We start from the raw sequence: 12,631 nt of genomic DNA, 5'->3' as shown, positions 1-12,631 counted from the left end.
GAAATAAACTCCAGTCTCCCATAGAGCTCCCAGGCTTATTAGGAAGAGGGAATTCCTGCCTAATAAATTTTGGTCAGACCGGTTGATCTCAAAACCCTGTCTTCTGATAAGATGGTATCAATGACAATGGTGCCCGAAACTTCATTAGCAATTTTAATTTCGCCTCATTCCTGTGGTCTTGTGATCTCGCCCTGCCTCCACTTGCCTTGTGATATTCTATTACCCTGTTAAATACTTGATGTCTGTGACCCACACCTATTTGTATACTCCCTTCCCTTTTGAAACTCCCTAATAAAAACTTGCTGGTTTTTGTGGCTTGTGGGGCATCACGGATCCCACCAATATGTGATGTCTCCCCCGGATGCCCAGCTTTAAAATTTCCCTCTTTTGTACTCTGTCCCTTTATTTCTCAAGCCAGCCGATGCTTAGGAAAATAGGAAAGAACCTATGTGATTATTGGGGCAGGTCCCCCCATATATTCCTACAATGGAATATTACATAGAAATACAGAAGAACAAACTACTGCTATATGCTATATTAGATATATATGGAAGGATCATAAAATCATGTTGAGCTAAAGAAGGCAGAGTCAGAGGAATGCACACTGTATGATTCCATTTATATAAAGTTCAAGAATAGGCACAATTGCTTGAAGGTGATAGAAGCCAGAATGGTAGTCACCTGGTTGGGGGAAGGGTGGGGGAAGGGGGAGGGAAAAGGGAAGCACTGATTGGGATGGGGCATAGGAGAGCCTTCTGGGCTGGAGGGATGGGAACATTCTATACTTTAATCTGGATGATGGTAACTTGGTGCATAAAAATTCTTGAGCTGCACACTGAAGATTTATACATTTTACTGTTTATATGTGATTCCTAAATGGAATTTTAGGATGATGGATTGAATCATGCCATTGCTAAGGCCTACCAGCTCTATCATTTTATAATTCTCAGAGCCTGGAGAATGACTCTCAGGTTCTAATGCTGGAATTCAAGGACTTCATGCTCAGTTTCTTCTTTCTCTTCCCTTTCACTGCCCCTGGCTTGCCTAGGAGGCCCTCTCTCGCTTATTATCCCTCCCTGACTTCATGGAAGTCAATCAGCCATTCTTGGCCTCATCATCCCATCTGCACAAAGTGGGTCATGCTGCCTGGACTCTGCTCCAAAAGAGAAATACACGGTCATGCATAGAAAATGCTCTGTGCATCACAGAGCAAAAATGTTAAATGCATTCCCAGAATTGCTAGCAGATGTATCTTTACATGGGGTCAAACACGTTCAGGCAGAATTGCAGTTACTACAGTGAGCGTGTGGCTTAAAAATCCCACTTGGTCCATGTGTGTTTCTTTGGCATGAAGGGACCTAATAGTGGCCATGAAGCAAAAGTCATGGGCAAGGGGCAGCCACGGTTGGACCTGAGGAGGCCTGCTTGCTGGCATGGTTCCTCATCCTTGAAGGAGACTGAGGCTGTGCCCACCTTGGGGCTTCTGCCAGCCTCTCAAAGGAAGGACCACTAGAGCTGGAGTCTGAGGATCTGGGTTCAAGGGCTGCTTTTGCCCTGATGTGTTATGTGACGCTAACAACCTGTTTCCCACCTCTGGGGCTCAGTTTCCCCGCTGCACAATGAAAAGGTGGGCTAGATCAGATTTAGAGATCCTTCCAATCATAACTGTTGATGAGCTTACAGACGGCTCACCTCTTAAAATTTAAATCATAGCATGTCCCTTCCTGTTTAAAGCCTTATCTATGACTTCATATTAGACTTAGAAGAAAAGACTAAACTTATCATTTGGACCTGATGGTGGGGTCACTGCCAACCTCTGCTGGAACCACTGCCCCATCTCTCACTGGGCCCCAGCCATATTGCTCTTCTCTCTACCCATGAACAACCCAAATCTATTCCTGTCCCAGGGCCTTTGCACATACTTCCCTCTCAGATGGAACCCTCCTCTTCCTAGCTCTGCGTGGTCAGCTTCACCTGCTTTAGGGCACCAGCCCAAGGGTCCCCTCCATAAAGGCCTTTCCTGACTACTGTAAGTAAGGCAGCCTTTCTTATTTTAAAAAAATATTTTCCCACCTTCATACTACTTATTACAACATGCAGTCTTTTTTTTTTTTTAGATGGAATTTCGTGCTCTTGCCCAGGCTGGAGTGCAGTGGTGCAATCTCAGCTCACTGCAGTCTCTGTCTCCTGGGTTCAAGTGATTTTCCCGCCTCAGCCTCCCGATAGCTTGGATTACAGGCACCCATCACCACTCTCGGCTAATTTTGTATTTTTAATAGAGATGGGGGTTTCACCATGTTGGCCAGGCTGGTCTTGAACTCCTGACCTCAAGTGATCCACCTGCCTCAGCTTCCCAAAGTGCTGGGATTAAAGGCATGAGCCACCACGCCTGGCCACATGCAGTCATTTGATGAATTCCTGGCTACCTTGTTTTCTGTCCACCTCCTATGCTGGAGTATTAAGCTCCATGTAGGCAGCCACTGTGTCTGTCACCACCAAACCCTCCGGCACATACGCAGTAGACACTCAATAAATCTTTGTGTATCTTTAATCCTGCCAGGCAATACTCCAGGGCTCCTGCTGCCCTGGGGGGTGCTGATGCAAGAGTTCCCCAAGGGATGAAAATGCTCAAGTATTGAGGTCCCAGCAGGTACTGTGATGATACCAGGCTCTTTGCATCCTTGTGTCATTTAATTCTCACTGCGCCCTTGGAGACAAGGAGGAAACTGAGGCTAAGAATAGTACAGTTGTACCCATGGTCATATAGCAGTAACCAGGAGCCCTGAGCTTGGAGGATGATGGCCCCGTGCCACCTGCTGGCTATGGAAAACAGGGATGTGATTCAATCTCTCTAGATGGTGCTTTTCTGTCTGCAAAGTGAGGTTAAGGTTTCCTGCCTGAAATGCAAGCTGTGTCATGATCAAGCAGGATAATGAACGTGGTGTGTTTTGCGCACCATCAAGCAGCATGCCGCTGCGTTTCTGTTGAAACAGAAACAGAGTCTGGGGCTTGCTTTGCCCATGGGAATCTGTGCCTCACCTCTCTGGGAGGCAGCCTGGGGCTGGAATCCTGCTCCATCCCAGCTGTGAGCTGGGCACCCTCAGACACTGATGCTACTTCACTGCTTTGAACTTCAGTTTTCTCATTTCCAAAATGAGAAGAATAATTACCTCACCTTAGGGCTATTAGGAGTATTAAGCAAGATCACCTGCCAAAACAGCTTTATCCTTTACAAAGTGCTGTGAAAATGTTGCTTCCTCTTTTGATGTCTTATGACATCTAGTTATTATATCAACTCTCCCCAATGAGGGAGAGAGGCCAGCGGAAATGGGCAAAGACCCTCAAGGCTGCCTCCCCCACTCCCTGGCTGGTGAAAACAGGCCAGGCACTGTGCCATGCCCTCGCCAAACAGTCTCCTTAAGTGCTCAGCAGTTGGTCATGCATGATCAGCCCCTTTTCATAGATTCACAAACTGAGCCCTCAAACAACATTGCTCAAGGTTCCCTGGCCTCAGGAGTTTTCTCTCTGTGGAGGACTTGGCCGAGGCAGCACATTGGTTTTGCGCAGAGCAAAGCCCAGGTTGACTTAGGATGATGCTCACTCCTGACGTAGCCATGAGTTCTGGGGAGGTCCTTGGCCATGGGTCCCATCACAATCCTGTGAGGGACTGAGGACAGCCACCCACCCTGGGTGTGGCATCTAGGATTATTTCTGCAGAACAAGCCATGTGCTTGGGAGGACTGGGCCCCAGGAGAGCCATCCTGGGGAGCACCGGGGAATCAACAAGTCACGCTCACCTCTGCCTCCCTAGGCCTACAGCCACTGGCCTTCTCTGTCCTCTGGTTGCCCCCTGGTCCCTAAATGGGCCCTGAGCTTCTGCCCCACAACACTTACCTCCCTCCCCGCTTGCATGCTCAGTTCAGTGATGGTGCCTGTCTTAACTCCAGGAAGCAATTAGCCAAGATTAGAGGGGCAGAGAGAAGGCAGGTGGTGGTGGTGTTGGAGCAGTTGGTAGAGGAACCCCTGGGGCAGACAGGGGGAGGGCAGGAGAGACAGAGGTGGGCTAGATAAGAGGGAAAGAATGGCAGAGGAGTTTGCATCCCGAGAAGCTGTTGCAGGTGGGACAGAGGAAGACAGGAGGATATACTTTCTTTCCTTGTGGGAAGGAAAGTGATGAATGCAGAGATCCAAGGAAAAGGGAAAAGAGCCCGAGGGAGAAGCTCATTAGGGAAAAACAGACAGACACATGCTCATTTATTTGGCCTAATCCCAGGAGTGTCTGAGAAATGGTTTCTCTTTTTGCAGGAGGCAAGGGAGACAGCCTGAGCAGACAGAGGACAGACTGGGGAGCCGGGGGGCCCAGAGTCCAAGCCCCTGACCCCTTCCACTGCATCAAGGTGAAATGAACAGAAACGTATTTGCATGTCCACCAAAATGTTCAGAGAGATGTACAGTCTGAAAACTGTAGGGTAAACAGTCGGGTTGGAAACTCAGGCAGGAGCTGATGCTATAGGCTTGAGACAGAATTCCTTGTTTTGTGGGAAACCCCCATTTTTGCTCTTCCTGCCTTCCAACGGATTGGATAAGGCCCTCCTACATACCTAAAGTCAACTGACTGTAGATGTTAGCCACATTGACAAAAGACCTCTCTAGCAATACCTAGATGAGGATTTGATTAAATAGCTGGGTACTCTAGGTAGTCAAGTTGACACATAAAATTAAATGATCACACCACCTAAAAGGGTCTCCTTTGGCTGCTGCAATGAATGACCACAAAGTTAGTGGCTAAAAACAACACAAATGTATTATTTTGTTAATTATTCTAGAAGTCCTTTTAAATGGTACACAGTGTCTGCAGAGTCACGTTCCTTTTGGAGGCTCCAGGGGAGAAACTTTTCCTTGCCTTTTCTAGATTCTAGAGGTTGCCATCTTCCTTGACTCATGGGTCTTTCCTTCTTCAGAGCCAGCAGCGGCCAGTCCAGTCTTTCACAGGTGGCGTCACTCCCACACTCCTCTTCTGAAGTCAAACTTCCCTTTGCCGCTTGTAAGGACCCGTGTGATTTGATTGGCTGCACCTTGACATTCCAGGACAACCTCCCCACCTCAAAAACATTAACTCAATCACATCTACAAAGTTCCTTTAGCCATGTGATATGGTTTGGCTGTGTCCCCACCCAAATCTCATCTTGAATTTTAGCTCCCATAATTCCCATGTGTCATGGGAGGAACCGGGTGGGAGATAATTGAATCATGGGGGTGGGTCTTTCCCGTGCTGTTCTCATTATAGTGATTAAGTCTCATGAGATCTGATTTATAAAGGGGAGTTCCTTTACACAAGCTCCCTTGCCTGCTGCCATGTAAGACATGCCTTGCTTTCCCTTTGCCTTCTGCCATGATTGTGAGGCCTCCCCAGCCATGTGGAACTGTGAGTCAATTAAACTTCTTTCCTCTATAAATTACCCAGTCTCGGGCATATCTTTATTAGCAGCTTGAGAATAGACTAATATGCCATGTAAGAAAATGTATTTACAGGTTCCAGCGATTGGGACATGGACATCTTTGTAAGGGATGTGGGGGCATTATTCTTGTACCCCACCACCCAAATCTCATCAATATTTGGGTGGATACAAGCATATCTCAGTGATATTCAGGTTCAGTTCTAGCTCATCCCAATAAAGCAAATATCACAATAAAATGAGTCACACAAATTTTGTGGTTTCCCACTGAAAGTAAAAGTTATGTGTACACCATACTGTTATTAAGTGTGCAATAGCATTGTTTAAAAAAAATGTAAATACCTTAACTTAAAAACACTTCATTGCTAAAAAATGCTAAATATCGTCTGAGCCTTCAGCAAGTAGTAATGTTTTTGCTGGTGGATGGTCTTGCCTCCATGTTGATGGCTGCTGACTGATCAGGGCAGTGGTTGCTGAAGGTCATAATGGCTGTGGCAATTTCTGAAAATAAGATGGTGAAGTTTGCCACACCGATCAACTCTGGTTTTCACAAAAGATTTCTCTGTAGCATATCATGCTGTTTGATAGGATTTCACCCACAGTAAAACTCCTTTCAAAATTGGAGTCCATCCTTTGAAACCCTGCCACTGCTTTAGCAACTAAGTTCATGTAATATTCTAAATCCTCTGTTGTTATTTTAACAATGTTTAAAGCAACTTTACCAGGAGTAGTTTCCATCTCTTTGCTTATCCATAGGAAGTAACTCCTCATCCACTAAGGCTTTATCATGAGATTGCGGCAATTCAGTCACAGCCTCAGCCTCCATTTCTAATTCTAGGTCCCTTGCCATTTCTACCACATCTGCAGTTACTTCCTCCACTGAAGTGAACTCCCCGAAGTCACTCATAAGGGTTGAGAATCAACTTCTTCTAAACTCCTGTTCATGTTGCTGTTTTGACTTCCTCTCAAGAATCATGAATGTTTTTAATGGCATCTGGAATGGTGAATCCTTTCCAGTAAGTTTTCAATATACTTTGCCCAGATCCATCAGAGGAATCACTATCTATGGCTGCTATAGCCTTACAAAATCTATTTCTTAAATAAGAAGACTTGAAAGTTGAAATGACTTCTTGATCCATGGGCTGCAGAATAGATGTGTCTTAGCAGGCAGGAAAACAACATGAATCTCCCTGTACATCTCCATCAGAGCTCTTGGATGACCACGTGCACTGTCAATGAGTAGTCATATTTTGAAAAGGAATCTTTTTTTCTGAGCAGTGGGTCTCAATAATGGGCTTAAAATATTCAGTAAACCATGCTGTAAACAGACGTGCTGTCATCCAGGCTTTGTTCTTCCATTTACAGAGCACAAGCAGAGTGGATTTAGCCTCATTCTTAAGGGTCTTAGAATTTTCAAAATGGTAAATGAGCACTGGCATCAGCTTAATGTTACCAATTGCATTAGCCCCTAACAAGAGTGTCAGCCTGTCCTTTGAAGCCTTGAAGCCAGACATTGACTTCTCTCTAGCTATGAAAGTCCTAGATGGTATCTTCTTCCAGTAGAAGGCTGTTTCATCTACATTGAAAATCTGTTGTTTTGTATCGCCGCCACCTGCATCCATGATCTTAGCTAGATCTTCTAGATAACTTGCTGCAGCTTCTCCATCAGCACTTCCTGCCTCACCGTGGGCTTTTATGTTATGGAAACAGCTTCTTTCCTTAAACCTCATGAACCAGCCTTGGCTAGCTCCCAATTTTCTTCTGCAGCTTCCTCACCTCTCTCAGCCTTCACAGAATTGAAGAGAGTTAGGACCTTTCTCTGGATTAGGCTTTGGCTTACGAGAATTTTGTGGCTGGTTTAATCTTCTATCCAGACAACTAAAACTTTCTCCATATCAGCATCTGTGTGTTCACTGGAGTAGCACTTTTAATTTCCTTCAAGAACTTGGCATTCACAACTTAGTTAACTAGTGCAAGAAGCCTAGCTTTCGGCCTGTCTCATTTTTCAGCATGCCTTCCTTATGAAGTTTAATCATTTCTAGCTTTTGATTTAAAATGAGAGATATGCGACTCCTCCTTTCACTTGAGCACTTAGAGGCCCTTGTAGGGTTATTCATTGGCCTCATTTCAATATTGTTATGTAGTTGGAAATAGGAAGGCCCAAGGAGAGGGAGAGAGACAGGGGAATGGCCGGTGGGTTCAGCAGTCAGAACACATATAGCATTTATTAATTAAATCCACCATCATATAAGGGTGCAGCTTGTGATGTCCCCAAACAATTACAACAGTAACATCAAAGATCAGTGATCACAGATCACAACAACAGACATATTAATAATGAAAAGTTTGAACATTACCAAAATGCAACAGAGATAGGAAGTGAGCACATGCTGTTGGAAAAATGGTGCTGATAGATTTGCTCTATGCACAGTTGCCACAAAGCTTCCATTTGCAAAAATAAACAAAAACACAATAAACTGAAGTGCAATAAAACCAGGTATGCCTGTAACATTTTGCTACCACCGCCCCCTATCCCCCCGCCCCCCACAGTAAAATACAATGTGTTTGTGAGAAGAGACAAGTTGGGGAGGGGCTTGATCCAAGCTGGGTTGCAGATCGCTGTCTCAGCAAAATCAGGTCTGGTCCAGTAATGCCTCACCCAAGCCTTCCTCCTTCCCTGGGAGCAGTCCAAACTCTCAGGGAAGGCAGGAGAAGGATTCTCAGGAAATACGAAGAAGATCTCAGCTTGAAATTCCAAAGAACTATGTATGACATTAGGAGATCTAAGCCTGTCTGAGAAGGGACTTACTAACTCCAGTCCCTATATGGATATGCTGTGCCTCTGCAGGTTCATGTCCTAACCTTTCTGTGATTCTCATTTGCATGAATTGTCCAGTGACTGACCCAGGACCATGTACTGAACACTCGCTGTATGCTAGGCTGGGGGCTGCCCATACTCCAGCAGTGCTGTCGGGGACCCTCCCCACGGCCCCCTTTTCTGTGTGTTTCTTCCTTAGAGGCCTGCCCAAGCCATTCTCATGGGAGGATGACCTTTGAGCTGCCGGAGCCCCCTGCTCCCGTGTGCAGGCAGCCAGAGGTGCCCGGAAGATTCCATCCCTCCCCCACCCTCAGGGTGGCCCTTAGCCAATGTCTGAGGGTGTGGAGGATGAAAGCTCAGTTCTCTCCTCTCAAGTTAACAGAAACTTACAGGTTTCCCTGTGGGATCAGCAAGAGCAGCCCTCTGCAGGGCCTAACCTCGCCCCCTTGCTTTCCTCCCCTTCCCTGTCCTGTTCCCTCAACCCCCTTAGGCTTCTTCTGGGAAATCATCCTTAATATATCTTCTGTTCACAAATGCTTGCCTTGGTGTCTACTTCTAGGGCATCTGACAACCATGCAAATATTATCCCATTTAACAACAGTGCTTTGAGGTGAGTGTTGTGATTATTCTCATTTTTCAGATAAAGACATCGAGGTCAGAGAAGTTTAGCAACATGACCAGGTTACAGCTGAGCAGGATCTGAACCCACATCAGCCTGGTGCTGAGCCTGCCTGCCTAACCCCCTCTCTCTATGACTTCCCCAACTCCCTAGAGAAGTGAGAAAATGGAAGAAAGGGTGCTGGGGAAATGCATTTAGCAAAGGACAATGGTGAAAACTCCTTGTGAGGCCTTGGGTTTCATCAAAGTGGAAAAAAAAATAGATTCATCATTTGCCAACTTCACAACCCAGGCACACACAGTGTGCTCTGAAACCCAACCACTCAGTCCTCTCCCTGGGGCTGTTTCTTCCTCCCTAGAAAGAACCCGTGTGGCTCTCTCCTTTTGGAGCCAACAAAAAGCCCCAGCTTAGGCAGCGATTTGTTTTCTAAGCAGAGGAGAGAGGCTCCAGGGGCCGAAAGGAACTGGCAGGTCTTTTTGCCAGAGGTGCCCGAGGTGCAGGCTGGAAAGAAGCTAATAACTCACTGTTCTGTGTCCCAAGCCCCCCACCTCGCCTCCATCTCCCTGAGGGTCCATTTGAAAGGAAAAAAAAAGAATCCTAAAAAGCCCCTTCTTTGCTCCTGGCCTCAGCAATCTCGTGGTTCCTGCCTGGGTTTAAGCCTTGGAAACAAAAGCTGATCGCTGGGACTGCTTGTAGCTGGGCAGTGAGCAGCAGTAATTAATTATCTAGGAAGCCGCCATTATAAATTCCTTTTCAAAGGGAAGCCACACCCAAGTGTTATTTACCTGCCCAGCAGGCTCTCTTTGGGCAGGCAGGTTATGGACAAAGCAGATTCCTCTACTGGGTGGGGGTGAGCATCTAATTGCAAGTGATTAGATGGGGAGGGTGTCTTTATCCCCAGCAAGTCCCAGATCCCAGAGACCCACCAGGTGACTTTTAAGAAAGAAGAATCAAGGCCCAGGTGGGGTGTCTATCAGACCTGGTGTCTACATACAGGCTGCAGTTGCCGGCATCTTCTCTGCTCGGTGGGGTGACCTGCCTGCTCCTGGGTCCCTCTCCCCTGCCCAGCCATCATTCTGGGTTAACAGTGATCCATAGTGACATTTAGCCACCGCAGATGGACTTTTTGAGATAAAATTATGTCATTCATCCTTATAAGCCTTTTCGAGCACAGAAGATAAAAATCATTCAAATAACGATTCTAAGCAGGGAAAAGTGCTTATTAATGAAGTCATTTGGTGATAACAGGAAGGAGGAATGAAGCCTGGAAATCCAGGGAGGGCTTCCTGGAGGAGGTGGAAGGTAAAGCTCTTGCAAACAAGGCAACTAGAGTCAAATGAGAAATAATTACCTAAGAGTCACCATTTGCTGCACCATTTGCTCAGAGGTAGGGGCTTTGTCTCTGATCATTAAACCAACCCAAGAAGGCAATTTTATTATTCCTCTTTACAGATGAAGGAATGGGGCTCAGAGAGGTTAAGCTACTTGCCCAAGGTTACTAAGCCGATAGGAAGGAAAGCTAGCATTTGAACCCAGGTTCACGTGTCCATCCAGGATCCTGCCCTGTCCATTGTGTCCAGGACAGCCAGGCACCGAGATAAATGATAAGGGGCAGACCACAGGCTTTGGAGCCCAGAGTGAGGAGACAGTGTTTCTATGGAGCAGTGAAGGGAGGGCTCCTGGAGGAGGTGTCTTCAAACATGGAAGCTTTAAGCAGGCAGAGAAGGGAAGAAGGGCATTCCCAGGAGAGGACAGCGTGTGGGCAAAGGCACAGAGAAGGAGTGTAGCCTTATTTGATAGACATCCAGGGAGCATTGTTGGCAAGTAAAGTCCCAAAGATATCCTAGATATTCAGACCAAGCCACTCAAGAAGGAGACCAGCAGTGGAGAGCCACCGAGGTTTCCCTGGATAAGTGAACCTGGATAAGTGAAGTCAGTGGGTGGTGAGGCTGTCGTCTGAACAAGGAGAAGGCTGCAGGCTGTGGCAAAGCTAGGCAGGAGCAGGTGCAGCAAGGATCGAAGAAGGAGGAACAAGGAAGAAGGTCAGCTTCGGAAGCCCGACTAGGACAGCTGTTCCCCAGGGTCCCCGGGACAATGAGGGTGCCGCAGAGAAATAGATCCCTCCGGGGCAGTGGCAGTTTGGGAGGAATATGACTGGCTTGTTCCGGGCTTCCGTTCCAGCTGTCAGCATGGGAAGAAGCAGCCCAGAGCTGGAAAAGCTCTTTGGGAGCTGAGGAAGGTGGAATTTGGGGGTCTAGGGTAGAGAATTGGAAACAGAAACTGGGCTGGGGAGGGATGAGAGAAGCAAAGGAGAATGAAGGAAAAAGAGGGGGAGTTGAGGATGAAAATGAGGTTTACTCTCCATCAAGTGGAGCACCAACAAGCATCATTTATTCATTAATAGCATGGACTGGGCTAGGCATGGAGCTGGATGCCACAAACATAGGCCTTGGTAAGATGCAGAATGCATACTGATGGAAAGGAGGTGGCTCGGAGGTGGGCTGCCTGGCTTCACATCCCACACACTGCCCACCTAGCACGGGCAGCCACTGGGGTCGAGCGATGTCGCCTCCTCTGATGAAGTGAGGATAATGACGCCTGGGTCATAGGTAGGGAACTGAAGGTCACTATGACATGAGTCAAGTGCTTGGACAGGTGGCCGCTATTTTCCAGTTAGGGGAGTGATGGTCTCCTTCACTCTCCTTCCCTCTCACCCTCTTTGATCAATGACCTTTTTACTGTTCCTTGAACTCTGAGCTGCTGCATTTCAGGGGCCATGGTGCTGGTTCACCCTCTGCTTAGAACCTCTTATCCTGGATCTTAGCTCAGCTCCCTCCATTTCATTCAGGTCTCTGCTCAAATATCCCCTCCTCCAAGAAGGCTTCCTGGACCAGCTGTCCCAGACAGCTTCCCACCCCACCAGCCACACCCTGCCTTCTCGGCCTAACCACTGCATGACGTCATGTTATGTATTCATCTCTTGACTTGTTACTCCCACTAGAAGCCAAGCTCCATGAAGGCAGAGACCTTGTTCCCTGTTGCCTCAGCATGTAGAATGCCAGTGCATACTGGACACTCAACCTAGATTTGTGAATAAATGAATGAGTGAGTGAGCGAGTAAATGAATGATCCAAATGCTCTGATAACCCAAGCTTCTCCAGTAGGACCTAGGAGTGGTGAAGGGGCCGTGTAAACAAGCACAGTGATGCCCAAATTTGGATCCTTGGACATGCTTTTTCCAAAGCCAAGTTCTGGGTTCCCCTGGGGCTTGTGAGGGCCTAGGTGAGGGACCTTGAAAGCCAGGGACAAAGAAATGTAACCACACTTGTCAGCTCTAGTGCACTGCAACATCTTGACATCTTTTTTGGGGCCACATCTTTTGTCTGACTCTGTAGCTCCGAGCATACATAACCTCTTCATCGGTTCCTGAGGTAGGAGACAGCCTTTCAAAAGGTCTGAAAAGGTGGAACAGATGGGGGTCCTCAGAGGACCTCTCCTGCTTTTCTGTTCCCTGGACCCTAAACCAGAGTTGAAGAAAGTGGATCTTACCTCCATTGGCATAACACAGTACTGGCATAGTGGCATTTTGTTTTGTTTGTTTGTTTTGTTGTTGTTGTTGTTTTTGAGACAGAGTCTTGCTGTGTCGCCCAGGCTGGAATGCAGTGGTGTGATCTCAGCTCACTGCAACTTCCACCTCCTAGGTTCAAGCAATTCTCCTGCCTCAGCCTCCCGAGTAGC

At 47.1% G+C, this 12,631-nt stretch overlaps 1 protein-coding gene across 7 annotated transcripts in view, besides 3 other annotated features; it reads right to left on the bottom strand.

Annotated features, from left to right (window-relative positions):
* TSPAN18 (tetraspanin 18) overlaps nt 1-12,631 on the bottom strand; it is a 206,114-nt gene that overhangs the window by 88,794 nt on the left and 104,689 nt on the right. The gene's annotated exons all lie outside the window — the stretch shown is intronic.
* Nucleotides 6,982-7,151: an enhancer, noted in NCBI's record as "experimental_21440 CRE fragment used in MPRA reporter constructs". NCBI's record gives its function as "activates a minimal promoter by MPRAs in K562 erythroleukemia cells, with activity observed for both the introgressed and non-introgressed 11:44858115 variant alleles {active_cell/tissue: K562}" and the evidence as "EXISTENCE:reporter gene assay evidence [ECO:0000049][PMID:34662402]".
* Nucleotides 11,406-11,575: an enhancer, noted in NCBI's record as "experimental_21436 CRE fragment used in MPRA reporter constructs". NCBI's record gives its function as "activates a minimal promoter by MPRAs in K562 erythroleukemia cells, with activity observed for both the introgressed and non-introgressed 11:44853691 or rs4755899 variant alleles {active_cell/tissue: K562}" and the evidence as "EXISTENCE:reporter gene assay evidence [ECO:0000049][PMID:34662402]".
* Nucleotide 11,490: a transcriptional cis regulatory region, noted in NCBI's record as "Neanderthal adaptively introgressed variant 11:44853691 (GRCh37/hg19 assembly coordinates) or rs4755899 in the experimental_21436 CRE". NCBI's record gives its function as "modulates activity of the experimental_21436 enhancer by MPRAs in K562 erythroleukemia cells {active_cell/tissue: K562}" and the evidence as "EXISTENCE:reporter gene assay evidence [ECO:0000049][PMID:34662402]".

The sequence above is a fragment of the Homo sapiens genome, chromosome 11, assembly GCF_000001405.40.
Source record: "Homo sapiens chromosome 11, GRCh38.p14 Primary Assembly".
In the NCBI taxonomy this organism is placed as follows: Eukaryota; Metazoa; Chordata; class Mammalia; order Primates; family Hominidae; genus Homo; species Homo sapiens.
The sequence above is the reverse complement of the archived record's forward strand: the minus strand, read 5'-3'. Positions and strand labels throughout refer to the sequence as shown.